This window comes from Homo sapiens, chromosome 6 (assembly GCF_000001405.40).
Source record: "Homo sapiens chromosome 6, GRCh38.p14 Primary Assembly".
NCBI classification, from domain to species: Eukaryota; Metazoa; Chordata; class Mammalia; order Primates; family Hominidae; genus Homo; species Homo sapiens.
This window is the reverse complement of record NC_000006.12, coordinates 124,079,993-124,101,966: the sequence shown is the minus strand read 5'-3', so window position 1 is coordinate 124,101,966 and position 21,974 is coordinate 124,079,993. Positions and strand designations below refer to the sequence as shown.

The 21,974-nt window shown below is 34.1% G+C and overlaps 1 protein-coding gene across 9 annotated transcripts in view, besides 1 other annotated feature; it reads right to left on the bottom strand.

The window, feature by feature from the left end:
• The window catches only part of NKAIN2 (sodium/potassium transporting ATPase interacting 2), a 1,021,776-nt gene that overhangs the window by 723,674 nt on the left and 276,128 nt on the right, over positions 1 to 21,974 (bottom strand). The window lies entirely within an intron of this gene.
• Positions 12,397 to 12,898: an enhancer, noted in NCBI's record as "NANOG hESC enhancer chr6:124410214-124410715 (GRCh37/hg19 assembly coordinates)". NCBI's record gives its function as "activates a minimal SCP1, AML or CMV promoter by ChIP-STARR-seq in naive H9 embryonic stem cells {active_cell/tissue: H9 hESC(naive)}" and the evidence as "EXISTENCE:reporter gene assay evidence [ECO:0000049][PMID:30033119]".

Genomic DNA, 21,974 nt, shown 5'->3' with positions numbered 1-21,974 from the left:
GTACAGACAGCTTTTGGAATTGGGATCCCAGGAAGTTTTGCCCTACAAAGCCTGTGCCTAAACTGCCTGCTGGTTATATCTAGGCTCTGTGGCCACATCATTTTCCTTCATTCCTCTCCCTGCCTCACTGAGCAGGTTTCTGTGCTTGAGGGCTCACATCCGCATCTGCTTGACTCACCTAAGTCAGTCATGTACTCTTGGTTCATGAGCCCAGCGTGGCATCCCTCAGGAAGTTATTGTCCTGAAATACTGAATTACACCTTAGTTTATGTCACATTCCAAGCGCTCTCATCTCATACATACTTTAGGTGTATCACAAGTAACTGAAACATAGGTTGGTTCTTAGTCCCAATGGAGTGGATAGAAAAAAACAGCAAAAACAAACAAACAAAAAAAACCCTGCTTTGTCAAGAATAAATTTATAACAATAAATTAATAGAAATGATACTCCTAAAAAAATAAAAAAGAAACTGATACTCCTGACATTCTGTGCCCAGCAAATGATCTAGCTAATTAGATGTCTGATTTCCTGGAGAATTTACTCTTGGAGCCATTATTCCTAAATGATATCTTTCCTTTAGCCGGCTAGCTTTCAAAAATGGAATGGTGACCAATACAGCCTATTTGGGTCTGTGTTTGAGGGTAGAATCTCCTAGCAGTTTTCTTCAGGTGTTTGGCAGATTTTCAGAGATTAACAACTTTCAGGGATAATAATCATTTTTTTTTCAGCCCTCCAGATGGCTGGATCAGTTCTGCATACTTTAATGTCCATCTTAGAGGGCCTAAAATGCCAACTTTAAACTGATCTTAATAGACCAGTCCTCTCACACTTTTGTACAGTGTACTATTGCTTTTTGAAATACATACATATGGCTTTACCATGCATTGTTGGGTATTGAACAATTGTATGGCATCCAGAATAGGCCTTGTGACAATGGAAAATATATCCACCAGCTAATATAAAATTTGAGCAATTCTACTGTACCAGTAAATATAGCACCTGTGGCAAGATAATTCACTCAGACATAAAATTGTCTTCATATATTTTGTCCCCACCCTCAAATTCCAAGAAGACAGCCTCTTTTTGCTTCCTTGCCTCTGGGCAAGTTTGTGATACTGAGCAGCAAGGAGAAATTGCTATTAATATGCCAGATAATAGAGGGAAGGTTCTATAGGACAAGAAATGGACAACAATTCTAGGGGCCCCACATCTATTAGAAGCCTGCATCCGAGTTTGATAGTTTCTCGTAACAAAGCAGAACTATCTAATTTAAATTGTCAGGTTGTGACATCAATATCCATATTGCAGCAAGAGATGTTTGTTTTTAGGTAGAGCACATGAGGTAAATGTATGATAGAAAACCTCTTACATTAATATTGATACAATCGCATCTCAAAAAGAGTTGTGTCCTTTACAGGTTTACATTAACATTCACACAAACAATTCTATTTGCTGTGGAATATCTTGCCATTTGCAGATGTTGACAAATGTGTCTCTTGGCTCCTTGTAAACACTAAGCATTAAATAAATGTTAAATTCAACATATTACCATGATAGGAATTACACATGTGTCTGAAAGAAAAATCATATCTGTGTATACTCTTCAGACATGATAAAACCAATTTTTTTAAAAGAATAGTATCTTCTAAACCATTTTCTTTCTAAATAAACTCCATTGAGTTCTTTTTAGATTTAAATTACTTTCTAACTTCATTACTCGTCTTGCATACACTCCCCAAAATCTGCTAATTCAAAAGATGCACTCAAGCATCGCTTTGTGTCTCAAGGATCAGGAAATCTTATAAGAAACAATAAGTGGCTTTGTCAGGTACTGAATGAGGAAGAAATTTCTGCAGTAAAGAATAAACTGTGTTCAATTTTAACATGTAAGAGAACATTTCCTTAACTTGCACAGGATTTAAAATTCCAATCACAAGAATGAAGGTCTTTAAAAATGAAGATGTCTTTGTTAGAAGACAACCAGTATCCTACAAGGAAGTAATGCTGGTAGCAACCGATCTTTAAATCCAACAGAAATCCAAACCAAAATAAACAGACAAAAAGAGTCCCCTACTTCTTTTTGTGTAGGCTCCATACAAAGGCTTTAACCCTCTCTTTCAGCCTCAGCACTATTGATATTTTGGGTTGGATAATTCTTTGTTGCTGTGGTCTATCCTGTGCATTGTAAGATGTTTAGCAGCATGTCTGGGCTCTATTCACTGGATGCCAGGAGCACCTCTCCCTACCCATCCCACCGCTACATACATTGTAACAGTCAATAGTCAAAAGTCTCCTGGAATGCAACATTCCCCCACCTCCTCCTGAGAACCACAGCTTTAACCTCATTCTCTTCCAGCTGGCTTTTCAATGGCATTTCTTTAATACAGCCATTTATTGAGCAAGAAGAATTTGACTTTTAATGTTTTCAAAAATAAAAAGTGCAAAGGCGGAACAATGTCTTTACATTGGTATATATAATTAAGCAACATGTCATATCCAGTGTCACAAATGTTATTTAGGTTTCTTACCATCTAGATAGACAGCAATTTTGTGATTAAAGCAATGTCTGTACTTTCAGGTCAGGCAACCTAAATTCAAATTACATTTTTAACATCTAGAAGCTGTGTAATTGTGAATTTATGTTACTTAAATTCCTGATACTTCTAATCATCATATTAAAAAGGCAGATAATATCTCTTCTTCATATTATTACAGGAATTAAATGGGATAACATCTCTAAAGGGCATGCCATATATTAGATAATCAACCAATTATCTTATTCCTATAACCATAAAAGAATACAAATATTATCCATTATATGTATTATGTATATTTTCTTCAACATAGCATATTTATGCCTCTAGCTTTTCAATAATTAAACTAGGACTATATCATTTGGACCATCCTGTATCTAAAAAGTGAAATTTAAATGTATTTCAGTTTGTCTTTATGACAGAACAGGAAAATAGGATAACCTAACTTTATCTCTTATTTTATCTTTTATCTATAAGAATCTGGCCTTATTTTTTAAATATAATGCTCAAGGGGGAAAACACACTTTGTTATTTAATTATTATTATTATTATTATTTTTCTTGAAACAGAGTCTCACTCTGTTGCCCAGGCTGGAGTGCAGTGGCGTGATCTCGGCTCACTGCAACCTCCACTTCCTGGATTCAAACAATTCTCCTGCCTCAGCCTCCCGTGTAGCTGGGACTACAGACACGTGCCACCACTCCTGGCTCATTTTTGTATATTTTAGTAGAGATGAGGTTTCACCATATTGGCCAGGCTGGTCTCAAATTCCTGACCTCATGATCCACCCGCCTTGTCCTCCCAAAGTGCTGGGATTACAGGTGTGAGTTGCCATGCCCGGCCCACTCATTTTTCTATTGACAAAACCTTTTTAACTGTACTAAAGAATTAATTGGACTACTATTTGTTACAAAACCATCTCAAAACCCATTCCTCCTAAGCAGTTGTGAAACCAATGAAATGTATATTGTTGATATTAACTAGAAACAGTGTATTATTTAATTACTCAGTATTATGCCCTAATAGAAGTCACAAAGTCATACTTCATTTTGTATACATTTTGCTTGAAGTTAAATCTGTTGAGGCATTCCTCGTGTGAGACATTCAAATAATGCATGATCCCTGTCCTCAAAGAGCTTACAGGTGTTACATATTAAGTCATGTGGAAAATCATGCTTTGCAATTCTTAATTTGCATTATAATTAAAGTCTAATAAGGATGATACATATTAATTGTCAGAAAATAATTAACCAGAGTAGGAACAATAAAGACCATTTAGTTATCTTTTTAAGGATGCATAATCTTCTTACTTTGCCAAAATATTGCATCCCTCCTTTTACTAGCCTTACATACCTAACAGGCTCCAGAATCTCCTTGGTCTCCTCTTCCCCAGTAGCTCATCAACCAAAAAAAATCATTCATCACCTCCAGGTGACTAACTTGGGAAAAATAATGAGTATAGTCCATCTCTTAGCCAGATGGAGATACTGCTAAATAATATCCAAGATATCAGGTTTCAGCGTAAATGTTGGCTCTGCAGAAAACTCTTCCCAGCTTTTGCCAATCAGACTAGTTGGTTCCTTCTACAGTAAGCCCTTTCCACTCTACAGTAAGCCCTTTTCACTCTACAGTTTTCCTGCATACACTTCCCATATAGAAAATATAATATCATGATGCTTTCATAAATTCATAACAGCCAATTTATGCGTCAACATTCCCAGGTTTAGAATTATGAACTTCTCATTTGTTTTGAAGTTTAGCCAGGCTGCTGACCTCATCTATTATAGCACGACTTTCCACAATTCTGGTTTAAGGAGCTATACTTGCCAATTGCATGTAGCTAACAAATAACTGAGAAATCAGGTCATTTGCGAATAAACCCAAACTCTAGCAAATAGCAAAATGACAGGCTACTCTTTTATGTACTATGCCTATCTAATTTGGAAATATCTTTTTTGTGCCATCTAAGATGAAATTTATATTGATTTCAGCTTGCCTCTAAGTTAATTACTTTTTTTTTTTTTTTTTTTAAGACGAAGTCTTGCTCTGTTGCCAGGCCAGAGTGCAGTGGCGCGATGTCGGCTCAATGCAACCTCCAACCCCAGGTTCAAGCGATTCTCCCGCTTCATTCAGCCTCTCGAGTAGCTGGGACTACAGGCGCCCGCCACCATGCCCGGCTAATTTTTGTATGTTTAGTAGAGACGGGATTTTACCGTGTTAGCCATGATGGTCTCGACCTCGTGATCTGCCCGCCTCAGCCTCCCAAAGTGCTGGGATTACAGGTGTGAGCCACCAAATTTCAGAAGAAAAATAAAAACTAATTCTACTGAAAATTCCTGTGTTTTCCTTGATTTTGAAGGCTTCTATCATTTCAAGTATAATCAAGTACCAGCAGCAAAACAAAATGTGCTTTCTTATTCAGGTGTGTTGTCAAGGACTTCATCTACGTTCTTAAATCATTCTCAGTTCAATAAACATTTTGAAGTGTAAATATGAGAAAGAACCCTAGGTGTTGGAGTGAAGAGTCGAATGAAGAAAACACATAACAGATAATTTTTTTTTTTTTTTTTTTTGGAGACGGAGTCTTGCTCTGTCGCCCAGGCTGGAGTGCAGTGGCGCGATCTTGGCTCACTGCAAGCTCCGCCTCCCAGGTTCACGCCATTCCCCTGCCTCAGCCTCCAGAGTAGCTGGGACTACAGGCATCCGCCACCACGCCCGGCTAATTTTTTTTTTGTATTTTTAGTAGAGATGGGGTTTCACCGTGTTAGCCAAGATGGTCTCGATCTCCTTTAATAACACAAGCCCAGTGTAAAGAAAAAAGGTATCTATAGCCCCACCTGGAGTTCAGTGAAGAATTCCTGGGGAAGATGAACATGGAGAAAGCCTTAAAAGATGAATAAGAATTTTTCAGAAAACGATAAGAAGGATTTTCAGAAATAACATGGTCAAAGCTGTTGAGCTGTAACTAAAAACAATTAGGAAAGCCTAAGTGTAAAGAGTGAGAATCCCATAACAGGGGTTGGTAAAGCCATTCCTGGACCTGATCATTAAAACATCAGAGTATTGGGATGTCCATGTATGTATCCTGGAGATATTTGAGAGATAATTTTTTTCAAGTAGGCCATGGGATGGCAAGATAGATCTCAACAAAGAAAAGAATGAAATGGCTATTCTTTAACAATTACACTGAGTTGATAATGTTGGATCATCCTGTATGACATTTTGGAGACCATCACATTGCATGCAATACAATGAAAATCTTGTAGTTATAATAGTTCACCTCAGTTCTTGCAATCAAACAGAGCAGCAAGTAGATGCTGCAATTATTTATTCATGTGAAAAACTATTATTCACTTCATTAGACCAATGCTTTCCTTGTTCTAAAATTTTCCTACAGTTTTGTTTTCTAGTCTTTGCTTCTTGTTTATAGAGAAACAATGTGCCTAATTTTCCTAGATAAATAAGACATTACAACAAAGAGATCTCTGGGCCCAGGGATATACACATGTACACTATCACATGCATGCATAGATACAAAGATTGAAACTTTGATTTGATTCTTCAACTATTAGCCCAGCTGTTATAACAGTACTTTTAAAAGTACTCAGGGGAATAGGTAAGCTTGATGTTGAATGCAAATCAGCTTACAGAAAAACATGATCACTTCGTATTATATTATAAAGTGATAACATAAAAAAGAGTCCTTAGGGAGATATTTAGTGTTTATTGATAGAGTTGATCTCATAGGAGGCTGTATACTTACTAAGGTAAGTGGAATACATTATTAGGAAAATTCTAAACCTGGTATTTTCATCAAAATTATGCAGAATAGAAAATATACATTTGAGTATAACTTAAGTACACATCATGTTAAAATTAGGCTGCATAAAGGAGCAAAATCCATATTCTGCTTAAATAATTCTCTACACAGACACTTTTGAAAGGTTGTATATATAGGTTTTTATAATAATTGTACTAACATTTAGTTAAAAATAAATACATGTACGTAATGCACAAAATTTTAAGTGACAACAGCAAGCCTTATTCAGATTCAGAATGCATCACAAGATTTTATTTAGGACTTGGGGTCAACTGTAACCTGTGTAGGTCTTTTTCACAAGTATATGCTTGAAACAAGGAAAACATCCAGTATTTATGAAATTAGATTAAATTAATTGAATAGTCAGTGGGAATATTATCCAAACAGATTAAAAAGCCTAAAATCATCTAGCTAAGAAGTTTCATTTACTCTCTTATGACTCAGTTTTTCATGGAACTGTTGGGTTGACATGAACATCATATAGGTCAGCAGTTTTTCAACTATGCTAATCATCAGAGACTACTTTTGAAGAAGAATTTCTAAATTCTTCACCACATTTTTACAACCATGTTATTACATATTTTTTAATGTCTCAATTTTACAGAGAAATAAAATAACATTTAAAAAAGTTAAGTACTCTGTTCGTAGTTACATGGATTGTAAGTGGAGAGAAGTCTACAACTCAATGATTCTAGCTATATATAATGAAAAGTGAATCTTAAACTTTCACATAATAAAGATATTGGTCATAATTTTATAAGTTATGAAATAATTATCAGATAATAGAGAAATGAGTCAGTTCCTTTAGTGAAGAGTGTAAGAAAGTATTAGAATTTGATCTAGGTCTGTTGTTAGAAATTGCGCCCTTAACTGCCTCACTATGTAAAAAATGTTGATATATACTGCTTTGGTGACATCAGCAAACTTTGGATCCGCACCTGAAAAACTGAAGGACAGAGCAACGAAAAACATAAGGCATTTAACTATGTGAGTGGAAACAAGCTCTAGGTGTTCCTGACCAATTAAAGCTGAAATTCTAACAAATTACTGATCTCTGATCTTCTTTACTCTTCTTACCTCATTCTTAGTCTTAATAAAGAACAAAGAAAAGCACCTAACATGTGGATTCCTGTAGATCTTTATTTCTCAATCTCCCTAGGAACAAATGCAAAGACACAATTTCTGAGGAGTAAGAAACAACTGAGAAATAGTTACTAGGTCATATTTTACATTAAATATTAACTTCAAAATATTTCAGAATTAGAGTAAGAAATATGGGAGGTTTCAAGGAGATATAAGATAAGGCTCTGATACTCAAATAATCATTTTTTCTATATGAGGAAATGAATCATAAGTTCATGCAACAACTAGAGAACAAATCTCTAATTCTCCAGTAGAGTGTTATAGGTCACAGTGCATTAGGAGAGATAAAAAGTATTGTAAATATTCACAAGAGGAGAAGATATCTGTATCTTAAAGCTGCATTGTTAATGGGTGTTACATGGCAGACTTGCATTATTTTTGTTTTGTTTTGTTTACAGCGGACTGAGATCATCTATAGCTCTGTTCAGACGCCACAGTGAAGTGTGAGAAAGACAAAAATCCAGTTGCATATATCAAATGCCTTGCCTGCCAGTTAAAATCAGGCCCTTAAAAGCACATAAACATTGATTTCTGTATTTTGGTTCCTTCCTTTTAGACAAGAAAAATCTGAAGAAAATGGATGATGCTAACAACAACCTTTAGTTTCTCTGGCTTTCCTCTTGATGTGCTCCATGAGATGCCCTAGGTAGTGTGGTGGAAATCAGGCTGCAGGTGTTCTCATCTTAACTGCTATAGCGGGCTCCCTTAGATAGTTTTGTAAGTCCCTATTCTTTAGTGTGCTTATAGACAAGGGAAATAATACAATCAATTTTCCTGTCGTAAATGTTGCTAGGACCATAGACTTCATATGAAAATTTGTTTATTTAAACATAGGTTAAACAGGTTTACCAAACTATACATATTTCTAAATCTTAGTGAAATAAGAATGTGAGATTCCCCTGCTATTTACAGGATTACTCCAAACTGTCTTTGAACATGTTAATAATAATAACAACAATTAACATTTGTTGAAGGTTATGTACTAGGTGCTGTTTCATTTGCTTTTCATATGTCACTTTATTTAATGCATGTAACAATCCTATGGGTTAGAGAGTGAGCATCTTGCTCAATGTCACACCGCTAGAAAGTAGTAGATCCTGGATGTGAAACTAGGTAGTGCGGCTTTGGAGCTTCTACACTTACACTATTAGGTTTACCCCAATTATCTTGGCAGCATGATTACAACAATAAACTGATTCTCCGTAACTGCAGAGGAGTCACATTTCTCTTGACCTGGAATGCAGGTGTATTTTTCTACTCTCATGTTTAGCCATGGTTGTCTTCCCCATAGATATATACACCAAATCAAACTTGAATTTCAGGATATTTGAGGAGGGGGTTCCATAGTTTTAAGTAAGCTTCAAAAATGCCCAGAGGAAATCATGCAGCTAAGATATGTACAACATTTATAACATTTAAGCAGATGAGAATTAGGGACTGTAAGACTTTAAAATTCATACTGGCAGGAAGCCTCAAGCAGTGATGATAAAAGAAAACAAAATGATGCAAATTTAAGTGGATTAAATAGAGAGAAAAATCAGTGGGGGAGAAAATCTTTAATCAAGCCAAAGTGCTGAAGACAATAGAGGTTGATGATTTGGAAATGGTTAATAGTTTTATATCTACTGAGATCAGCCCTATTCAGGTGATGTTTTTCAGTTCTATCTAGTTCTTGATAATTTACTCTGGTAAGCCAAGAATATGTAGACTTGTAGGACTGAAATGAACTCTACATGTGGAAAGAATTTTACATAAATAGGCTAAACATATGAGAGCTAGAAAGAAATTTAGATATCATCTTACCCCATCAAGAAAAAAAACTGAAACCAAAAGAGGTTAATTAAGCTTACTTGAGGTCACTCTGAAGTTGATTAATGTGAGTTTGAATAAAATAGTTATGAAGTGGTAGAGTCTAGAGTGAAATACAAAAATCTAACATCTAGTGCCCCACAAAGGAAAGAATTACAGAAAAAAAGTTTTTAATATTTCCTTTACATCCTTTTAAAAATCAACAGGAAGGAGGTTATAAAAGATGGGAAATCATAAGAATCACTAAAATACTTTTATAGAAAATTGTTCCTTATATATTTTCTAAACCTCTGATGATCTCTGCTGGTTCTCATTAGATTTAGAGATAAAACCAAGCACAGAAATGTGTTCTCAATTTCTCACACTCTGGGTGAGACATAAATAATAAAATATGGGCAATTAGAATTTTAAGTTTTTAAATGCCACTTCAACCCCTGACAAAAAAACGCCGAAATATTTTCTCAGGCATTGATTGACAGTGCATTGGATGCACTTGGTGCTGTGTATGATAGGAAAACAAAATAGAAAGCAATTATTTTTATCTTTAGGAAGCCTATAACTTACTTGAGGTGAAAGGGCATATGGCATACTAACATGGAGAACATTAAACTATGTAAAAAGCAAAAGGTAATGAAACTTAAGGTTAGCAAAGTACATAAGTGTTGGCAAAACTAAAAGGCAAAGATGAGAATAGTGTTAGGTGAAAAGAAGTAAGACGCCCTGAGTTTGCAGGTGAGATTGTTGACTGAAGCCGAAAGTCCCAGGTAAGAATAAGTGAAGATCTGCATATGATGCGGGAAAGAGTCAGAGGATGAATGTGCAGAAGATTTCATAGACCAGGTAGAAAAGGTGGACTTCAATGCACATGATAAAGAGGACTACCGAAGGTAAACAACACGATGTGTATGTTGTTTGTAGATGGTAGCAACCTGACATTAAATACATTACTGAAATGAGGCAAAGTGTGGAAGACTATGGAGCTGGGGGGAAAAAAAAAATAATGCTTTGACCAGGTGCTCCTCAGTAAGAGAGAAGGTAACTGGCTTGCAGTCAGTAATTTAGAATTTGATAATATTTTATTCCACACATTCAGCCAATGTGTACAAAAATGTATGTATTATTTTCAGATTCCCTGGTCTTTGATGGAAAATCAATGTTTAGAGACTCTGTCTGTATGAAATTCAGTTTTCTTATTATGCAACAAAGGTAGTCCTATTAATAATTTGTATTTTTCTCAAATCTCATCTCTTTTACTGAAACATTCATATTTTTGATATAAACATATAAATATGTGTATTGACTAGGATCTATAATTAAAAGAAGATTCTTGCCATCATATGTTACTCTTTCCAGTTCTGACATAGTGTTTTCATGTGCCTGCTGTAATGATTTTCTTAATTTATAGCCATAGGTTAGTTCTTTGGTCTGGTGGTATATAGCTTCACTGGTTTATGGGACATAAAGCTTCCTTAGATCTTACAATGCTTTACTTAGGTCTCACTTAAAATCAATTTAATGTTTATTTCACATTCAATTTTTTAGCCTTTTTACTTTGAGTTTTGGTTACATGGACTATGTAAATAATCATAGTAATGTGCTATACTAATGTCCAATTCAAAAATGTACTTAAAATGTAATACATTATTAAGTTGTTATGACAGATTTAAAGGGGTGTGCAATTGGAAAAACTTAAAAATGTTTATCTGATAATAGAATGGTTCACAGCTATGATTTATATATAGCTTCCTATGGGCCCAGCATAGCATACTGTTATCTCATTTGGTTCTTCAAATAACTCCATGGGATTGATATTGTATTTTAAAATGTTTCATAGTTAAATGCACTGAACGATTATAAAAGTTCAGCATGTACTGACATGTGCAGGCAATATGCTCAGCACTTTATGAGTGTCCTATGACTTAATCTTCATTAAAACCTGACATGGGCTGTATCTTTATCTTGGTTTCACTGAGGTGAAGAAAAGTAAAGTAATTTGTTTAGTTAATAAGTGGCAGTTCCTGGCTCAGAGAAGTTAAGTGTCTTTCTGAATATACAACAAAGGTTAGGTTTTAGAAGATGTCTGCTGACTTGCAAGCCTTGCTGTTAAACACGACACCTATTATCATCTCATCTGACTTATGCCTCTAGATGGACAATTTTCTCACTACCCAGAATATGGTAAAGCTTCATTACTAATTTAGATAAGAGGTGTTATAAGTTCCTATGACCATTATCCTATTATACCAAAATGACTGCAGTCAGAAAGTTTACTCCCCACCGCCAACCCACATGTCAACTTTTTGCAGCTAGAATTTAATATTCTTTAGCAGTTTTCATTCATATTGGAGATAATCTGACTTCTTTTTCTGTCAATTGACCAAAACTTTGACTTCAGTTAAAGAATCTAAAATAGGTTATGTACAGAAGAGCTGAAGGCAAAAGTAACATTTTCATAAATGCCTCAAAACAGGATTACTAAAACACTCTTCTAAAACATGACATCCTTTTAACTTATCCATTCGACAAACATTCTGCAAGTATTTACAAAGCATATATTAAATGCTAGTTAGTATTGAATATGAAACACATAAACATGATTGCTGAACTTAAGAAAATTAATATTAAGGTTTGGGGGAAAACAAGGATACTGGTGTGTACATATGCAACTATTCATAATGGAGTATGTACATGTACTATAGCAAACTGGCTAAGAGAGATGACTCTGGAAGTGAATCCTTGAGTTTGAATGATTGGTCTGCCACTTAGTACTAACACTGGGCAACTTACATAAACTGTATATTTCAGAATCTTCATCCATAAAATGAGGATAAGAGTATTTACTGCACAAGGTGATATTGAGAATTAGCCAAGATAACGCTAGTGCCTGACAGTCAGTCACTAGATAATATGTTTTGCTTATTTTCATGGAATATGCTAATTGTGTATGAATAAAATCCAGACAAATGAACAATCCCTTCTTTCTAAGGGAGAGAGGTAGGCACCCGGGTTCAGGGAACTCTTTGCAGAGTTTGCCTGCAATAGTCTTGTGCTTTGATTTGGTTGTATAGAGAAGGAAGCAGAAATGAATTATACAAAGAGAAAGTCACATAAACACAGACATAGTAAAGTGAAAATGTATGCTCTACTGGTGAAGTATTGGTGTTTCAATATGGCAGATCATAGGGTTCTAGGTTAAAATAGCAAGGTTTACAAAATCAAAGCAGTGGTAAGAGACAGATTATAGAAATGCTGAACAAACCAAAAGAAAGAAGAGAACAATAGCTGCCAGCAGGAATTCTCAGATGTCAACTTAGCAACTAGATGCTAAACAACTTTAGAAGAAAGACCATGACTTTCAGGCCGAATCACGGTACTCACACTAATGTGCCTGGTAGAATTATGGCTTGTTCAAATTAAATGCTCAATAAATGCCTGCTTAATAGAACTATCCAGCAAAACAAGAAAACCACACCATCTAACTTGTTATATAGCTTGTTATATACGGAATATACTCTGTAAGCAAGAGTGTCTCTCCCCTCAAGTTGTCAATGGTGATTGACTTTATCTTAGATCCAATGAAAATTTTATATATTAGTTAACTTCAACCATGTTGGCCATGTTTTGCACAACATTTCTGGAGGAAGCAGAGGATATTATTTAAAAGGATAAAGTATTTGCAAAAAGGAACTGTAGGTAATATCTACAACACTTCCCACTATTGTGCTAAGATAAGTCATGTGAAAATATAGTTTTCTATGCCAACATATAAAATAGACAAATAATGTATTCAGGCACTTATATATGAATTTGTAAACCTAAGTGTATAATACATGAGAGTTCAGAATTTATTTTAGCACACAAATCCTACTAGATGCTTTTGTAAAACAAAACAATGTTGATAAATAATGTACCATATGCAAATCAACTCAACATCTTGTGTAATCAATCAGTACATCAAATATGGTTTTCTTTCTATAGACTCTGCTTAAATCATTAAATCCAGTGAGTATTTTCTGGATTTAAGTTTTGACCAGGTTCCATTACTTGCCACAGAAAGCAACAGTACTAGAGATTACTGTCTTCAGCAGGTAAAAACTAAATAATTCTTTTAGGAACAATGAAAAACTTTTCAGTAAGTAAGCTGGCAAGTGGTTAACAAGTGACTGATAAAGACACCTCTAAGATAAATGTCAATTTTGTATTTCTCCACATTGAGCTCCTTGCCAGTGGTTTATTTTTTATTTTATTTTTGAGACATGGTCTCACTCTGTTGGTTGGGCTGGAGTGCAGTGGCATGATTGAGCCCAAACTTCTGGGCTCAAATTATCCTTTTGTCTCAGCCTCCCGAGTAGCTGGGATACAGGCATACACCACCACATCTGGCTAATTTTATTATTATTATTTTGTAGAGATGGAATCTTACTGTGTTACCCAGGCTGGTCTGAAACTCCTGGCATCAAGTGAGCTAATGTTTTAAATTACCATTTTTTGTAGCAAGGGCATTTGAAGACTGTCTACTGCAAACATTTTTGTGCCATACAGATCTTTGGCAACTTTATGTTACTCAGCTGCTTTGTTACAACTACTGTTAAGGTTGTGAGACTCTAACGTGCACTGCTTATTCTGAAAGAAATCCTAAAAGCAAAAATGCGAATGCAACGTAGTATTAACACTCTCTAATAGTTGTAGTAAATCCTTAAGCTACACATTTTTGGATTCCACTGTGATACAACAATTGAGTATATTCCACTATAATAAAATTTTCGGAATGTTAACTGGCATTGTCAGCTGTGTATGTTATCAGAGTATAGCTAACACATTTTCCCCCAAAGGAAGTATGCCAACTATCCATGTCTACCGCTGCTAATAAGGCATGCTAATTTAAGACATTCAAGGCAAATTCAGTATACAACATGTTTATGTGGTACTTTTTCCCTACTATTACATACGCAATTGAATTTTCTCCTTTTTAATAGACTATTTTTAAGGCAGTTTTAGATTAACAGCAAAACTGAACAAAAACCAGAGTTCCCAATAGCCACAGATACACCCTCTACACACATGTATATCTACCATTATATGGTCATACCAACTTGCTATAATCATTAATTAGTTCCAGGAAGTTTTTTGTCAATTCTTTTAGATTTTCTACACAGACAATTATGTCATCTGTGAAGTTTCATTTCTTCCTTTCCAATGTATATACATTTTTTTTCCCTTTTCTTCTCTTACTGAATAAGCTAGGACTTCCAGTACTGTATTGAAAAGAGATGGTGAGAGAGGACATCCTTGCCTTTTTTCTGATATTAGTGAAAAAGCTTCTCGTTTCTCAACATTAAGTATGTTGTTAGCTGTAGGATTTTTGTAAATGTCTTTTATCAAGTTGAGGAAGTTCCCCTCAATTCCTACTTTGCTGAGAGTTTTATTATGGATGTGTGTTAGATTTTGTCAAATACTTTTCATGTATCTATTTATATGATCAAATGATATTTCTTCATTTAATCTGTTGATATAAAGGTTTACATTAATTGATTTTTACATGTTGAACCAGCATTGCATAACTGAGATAAATCCTATTTAGTTGTGCCATCTACATTTTTAAAATATATTATTGGATTCAATTTGCTAATATTTTGTAGAGGATTTTTGTATCTATGTTCAAGGGAGATATTAGCCTATGGTTTCTTTTCTCATATGTCTTGGTCTGGTTTTGGTTTTAAGATAATGCTGTTCTGAAAGAATGACTTGAGAAGTATTCTCTCTGCTTCTACCTTCTGGAAGACATCATAGAGAGTTAGTGTAATTTCTTCCTTAAATGTTTTGTAGAAACCACCCATCATGGCCTGGTGCTTTCTGTTTTGAAAGGTTATTAATTATTGATTAATATAAGACTATTTTTCATTGTCTATTTCTTCTTGTGTGAGTTTTGTCAGATTGTGTCTTTCATGCATTTGGCTCATTTCATCATAATTATCAAATTTCTGAGTAGAGAATTGTTCACAGTATTACTTTATTATCCTTTTAATGTCCATGAGATCTATAGTGATGCCCAGCAATTGTGTTTTAACTAGACTTCTTAAATTTATTTTGAGTTTAAACTGTGTTACACACTTGGTAATAGTTACTGTCTACAAACAACAAGCAAGAAAAATGCCTACAATATTCACATGAGGCAAAACAAAAAGAGGAGACAAATATCAATACCAAAAGGAATACTGCTTACAATACAATTTTACGTCATTGGGCTTTCACCAGCAACTTACAATCATACCTGATATTACTGGTTTCTCAAAAAAATCAGAGAGCCAGTCCATGAATATAGATTCAGAAAATGTCAACTGAACCTTTACTGAAATTTATATAGTTTGTCAAACTCCAAAGTTTACTAACCAGTCATATTTCAAACACAAAAGCTCAATCATCCTCATAATCATTTCATTATAAAAGGTTTATATGAGTTGGGAGCTGGAGAGGGGTAAGGCAACACTTGGAGCAGATGTGAAGATACCTATGATAATGAATTATTGAAACTATGTTGAGCCTTTGGAGAATGAAAATTTCTTTAAATCTGAAGTAGTGATTTGATCAATATAACACTAGTGACCTATAATAATGCAAATCCTTCTTTTATATGAAAACTGAGGGATCTGAAAGTTATTTTACCTTTAAAAAGCAAGGATACTGATACTGTTTAGTATGAAAGCCCATTACCTAGTAGGGAAAATATTATGCCTTTTGTTTTGTACTTACATCTAAGAAAAAAATTAAGTAGAAGATATGGGAGGTAGAAGAGATTTCTAAAATTACTGTTTTCCTCCATTTAAGTAAATATAGATTTACCAAGCCGTCATAATCTCATTCACAACTACAATTTATTACCCATTGATGCCAGACACATTGCAGAGCTCTTCACATATAAGATCTCCAGGAGGGCAGGAATACTTGCTTATTCACTTATGTATCAGAAGCATCTAAAATAGTGTCAGGCACATAATTGTCCCTTGGTACATATTTCTGCATGAACAAATATTTATTGCATTTAGTCCTCTTAAAACCACATAAAGTATTACTATCCCCAGTGTACACATGAAGAAACAGGGGCCAAGAAAAGTGTTCCACTCACCAAGACCACCAAGACAGGCATCTCCAGATTTGGGATTTGAGCCGAAGTCTAACTTTGACAAACACAAAGGGCCACTGCCTACCTATCCTCCAACTTTTCTGCCCCTCAACCCAGTTCTGAAATACATAGATACTCTGCAAGTATATATACTGTTATATTATTTGCTACAGTGGTTCTTGACTGGCCATTCAGTGTATTTTTTAATGCCAAATTCAGGGTTATTTCATTTTTTAAGCCAAAATTATAGTTCTCAACATTCTTTCAGAAATAAACCACTGAAAAATTTATGGTATTTCAATTCAGTAGTTGCATTAAAATATCTCCATTGCCACATAAATGTGAATTCCAACTGATGAGCATAAAATAATTTGCTGAGATGTAATCAAAATCTATTTTAAAAAGACAAAACCTTTTCCTGAGTTTGCTTTCACATCATTAAGGATGACACTATGTCACTTTCTCCCTACAAAATACACTATTTACAGCATTTGTTATTCACTTATAAAATGCATGCAGAAGTTGACTTCTAAGATCCTGGTATGAATCTCCTTTTAACAAATTTTAAGCTCTTTGAGTAAATATCATTACAGCATTTACCTGCTGTGCACTACTTTTCAGCAGAAAATGCTCTTTGGGTTTCTCAGCAAGATTAGCAAATTTTTAAGCATAGAGATTTTTTTTTTCTTTTTCTATGAGGACGGGAAAAGATCTTCATAAATCCTGCTATGTTCTCTTCAAATAAGCTTTCATCTTTACCCAAAAAGATTCTTGAGTGATTAAAGCACAATGATCTTGACTTCAGTTCTAGACATGCCAATTCATATGCATTTGATCTCTAAGACTTGTTTTCTACAAGTAGATGGAGCGTGTTTTCCCTTTTTTCCCGGACTTTCCTGGATAAAGTGAGGTAGCACATGGGAAAGCACTTTGGAAAAGTATCAGGCTCTACAGAAATATAAGATTAGTGCTACACAAAAAAATTTCAATTCCTGTGTTGATAAACAACAGAGATACAATCTGAGAAATACATGGTTAGGTGATTTCATTCTCATGTGAACATACATGAACATACAAGGTGTACTTACATGAACCTAGATGGTATAATCTACTATACGTCTAGGCCATGTTCTGTAGCCTATTGCTCCTAAGCTACAAACCTGTATGGCAATTGTCACACAATGGCAAGCCATATCTAAACACAGAAAAAGTACAATAAAATTACAGTATTATAATCTTAGGGGACCACCATTATATCTGCAGTCCATCATTGACCGAAAAATCGTTATGTGGTAGATGGCAATACATGAGAATAAACTGTTCTGGCCTGAGATACAAGAGATATAATGTCCTAAACTTAGGGAATTCATTTCCATAATCCACTCCAATCTGTTCCTTATTTTCCCTCTCTTGTATGGGGAAATGCTCACCAAGTTACTCAAGCTAGAAATCTGGGATAATCTAAAATCACTACCTCCCCTTCACCCTAGATATAACTATGCTACCTAGCTAGCAAGTCTCTACCTTCTGTTATAGCTTTATTGGTACCTGTTTCTCTTACAATCAAGATCAAAACCCTTGTTATATATTGTGAGTCATTTTTAATCTGTCCCCTCTTTAGTTTCCTGCTTTTCATCCTGGGATCTATCCATGCTGGAATTTGCAATTCCATGAAAAAATCATGCTCTCTGTAACCATAGTGTCTTTAAAAAAGGCCAGTACACAAATGAAAATTGCAGGGACCTAGTATTGTTGCAGTTCCTCTTAGACTGAAAGACACATGTGAGAAAGCATTTGTGTCTTTTTTGCATGTACTTTAACTGTACAGACCAAGACCAATTGCTACAGATAATTGAGAACTGGTTCTAATCTGAATTTCACATAGAACAGGAAGGAGTCAAAGACTTTGAAAACATTAATAGGTTGATTTGAAATTTATGTATAGGTGGATCAACTAAAATTTTTATAAAGAAGTAGTAAAAGAGTATATATTGATGAAACAGCCATTGCTAAATATAAATTTTATATTATAAAAAATTAGAAAAATTTAGAACACAGAGAAAACTAAAACAGCCATTATTATCCTGCAACAAAAGAAAAACAATTGCCATATAATACTTACTGATACTTTTTTATGTTTAAAAAAGTAATGATGACAATAATAACAATGACAAAGGTCAGCTAACATTAATTAGGCATTATTGTGTATCAGGCACTCTATTAGATGTTATGCATGGATTTAGTTTTATTCTTGAAATGGGCCTATAAATTAATCCTGTAAATATCCCATTTTACAGATGAGTATACTAATCTTCAGTGATGTTAAGTCCAAAGTTTCACAGCTAGTAATAAAAAAATCTGAATTTTATTTGAATTATAATTTAAAATTATTCAAAAGTATAAATATTTTGTATACAAACATATAGTTCCTTTGGTATACGTATAAAGTCTCATAAAAAGGCATATGAGGATGTGAATTTACAAGAAATCAAAATAAAAAGCAGTCTATGTTTTCTAGATTTTTAAATATTGAAAAGAGCTGTCTTTTAGATATAATAGTTGTTACGTATGAAAGGCATAATGATCACCTATTAAAATAATAGATGCTAAATATTAATCCTAGGTAATATCACTTGCCTAAATACCTACTACACTGCTTGTTAATATGGACTGTATAAATTGTATATTTGGTGCGTTTGATTTTCTGTGTGTGTAAATTTCTCAATTCCCAATGCAAATGGATTGATTTCTATTTTGTAAAATCCTATTTGGATACAAATATCATACAGAAAATCTAATAAAAAGGATGACTTATAGAAAGAATTCATTTGACATTTAGTTTCTAAAAATTTGTGACACTGATCCTTTAAACTCAGAACTCTATTAAAGATCTTTTTTTTTTATATTGGCCATGTGTCATAAACAAACATTTGAAGCAGGCATATAAATTATTCTATTGTTCTAAATGTTTTTTTAAAAATTTTAAGTCTACATTTCTATTTCTCAATGAATGAATAATAAATGGAGTCCATAGGGAAAACAAAACAATCAAAAGACCATGGGTTCATCAATTTAAATAGTATTGAAGTACATATTAGGAACCAATTCTCATATCTTTTGCATAAATTTCTCACATGCCTGTCTACACTTGAATGACTTCAGAATTAAAGAAAATTGCATTAATATTAAGCCTAATTAATATTAAGCTTACATTAAGAGCCTATAGCATTAAGCAATTGGATAAAAAAGGACGTAGTAAATAACTCATATAACACTTTGATTTTCATTGATGTTTAGCATAAGAATACAGTGGAAAGACTACTAACATCAGATGCAGTCCTTGCCAATAATTTATAGTCCAAAACTCAGCTCAGGTCTCCCTTCCCTTCCTGTTGCCCACCACCATGCTATGGTTTCCATCATGCCACCCATGCGCCAAGTTTCTAGGCTTGGGTTATTTACCTGTTTCTTTCAGTTCCTAAAATACCCTTCCCATCACATTATTCACTATCTGTATTGGCTTTATTTCTCTCTCTACCTTAAGGGCAGGGGTGGATTGAATTTACTCCTTTGTTCTATTGAATACCTGCAATCTTAATAAAGCTCAGCAAGACACTGAAGAGGATAGACTTTTAATTTAATGATTGTTGCTAAGAATATTTAACATAATATGTAATTGTATGTGATCCAACTCACAAACTTAATACTTTTGGCCTCTTTTTCTCCATCTTGTAATAAGACATGTTTTAACTGGATTGCCTAAAGTAAATTCTGGCACTAATAAGTCTATGGTGTATTGCAAATTGGCCTTGAAAAGTCAGAATTTTGATTCCCAATATTTTCAATAAGCACTATAGTATATTTTAATATTTACTCTATTTCATGACTCTGCTAGAAAATTCAACTAAACTTTAATATCCTTTACTGAAAGTAATAAGCAAGTGTTTTTCTCCTCTTAACATTCTTTTGCAAAATGTATCTGGTAGAGAAAACAGCATTTATGAGTAATTACCAAGCATTATACATAAGAACTTTATTTAGACATTCTAAAGATAATACCATTCAATTCTAGTAAAGAGGAGAAACAGAATATGTTATGTAAAAATGAATGCAAATTTTATGTAAAACCTAAGTGAATGAAACATAAAAATTCTGGTAAACTAGTAATATAACCTTATTTCAAAATGTCTTATTTGATTTCAACAATCACACACAAATAAAATTGGTCTCATTACTAAACAGAAATACCATGTTTTATATTTTCTGCAGTTTGACAAACATTAATAGATTGATTTGAAATTTATGCATATGAATAACTAAAATTAGGATTAACTAAAATAAGAACTAAAACTCCTCAGTCATCAAGAATTCCTGTGGCAGACAAAAATCTTTAAAAGTTCCAAGTAAAAACTGCATAGAGGAAAGTCAATATGCAATATAAATCTTTTAATATAGGATTAAACGACTCTTTTTTAAGACTAGGAACTTTATTTTTATGTTATCTATACCTTCATATGCCAATGAATAAATAAATGTTTGAAACTAACTGCCCTGAAATCAATTTTTATTACTATGGTGGGATTTATACCTATGCAGGCGAGTTAGTTTATCATCAATAATTTAGTCTACAAGGACTCCTGATTTCTCTGAAGTTTCTGGTAATATGACATGGTATTAGATAAAGTGTTAGAAATTTGTAACACCAGGATGTTTGTTTCAAACATATTTTTCCCATTTATAGAAATACAGGAAAGAAGGAAGAGGATATAAAAGGCCTTCTATAAAGATCTTGGAGGGGGGGAGTGTTTTTGCTAGTAGTCGTGTGTGTTTGTGTGCAGAGCTAGATTCAATCAGGGAGGGCCATAAAGTTAAAGTGCTAATTATCCTCAGTTTATTTTCTTCCTTTTCCTTTTCCTTTTAATTGGGAAATGTAGTTGGTACAATGTTTTTTGGTCTAATATAAACTCAAGGGATTATTACAAACAACATTAGCAACAGTCTATATGTATATTATATATAAAATGGAAAATTGATAAAAAATATTTAAGACACACAAGCAAGAATTAGTAAAATGAAACTGTGAGACCTGTGACATTCAAATCTTTAAAAATATCTCTGACAATCAAAATGATTTAAGTAAGAAAACAATGAAAACTGTAACTCACGTATATTGAGACTGATAGATCCAGAAGAAACTGCAAGAGGCTAACTCAATTCTAACATTCTAGCTTCTAGGAACAAGACAGCCTTTTGTCTAAGATCTTGAATAACTGAGCAAATACCTCTGGCAAATTGTACTGTATCTTCCCCTTACAGAAGTAGAGTCCCAAGGAGAGATGGGAAAATATATTAGCCTAGGTAAACTCAGACAAGACGCCCAGTGTAGGAAACCACCCTGGAAGCCTGATTCTCAGGGCTGCTGAGCGAGACCTGTTGTCCCAGCTTTTTTATCAGTCAGACTCCCATGGGCGTTAATCTATATTTCACACATCCTTAATCTTTTGATGCCCAAGCTTCCTTTCCCATCTAGGTCTACAATCTACTTCC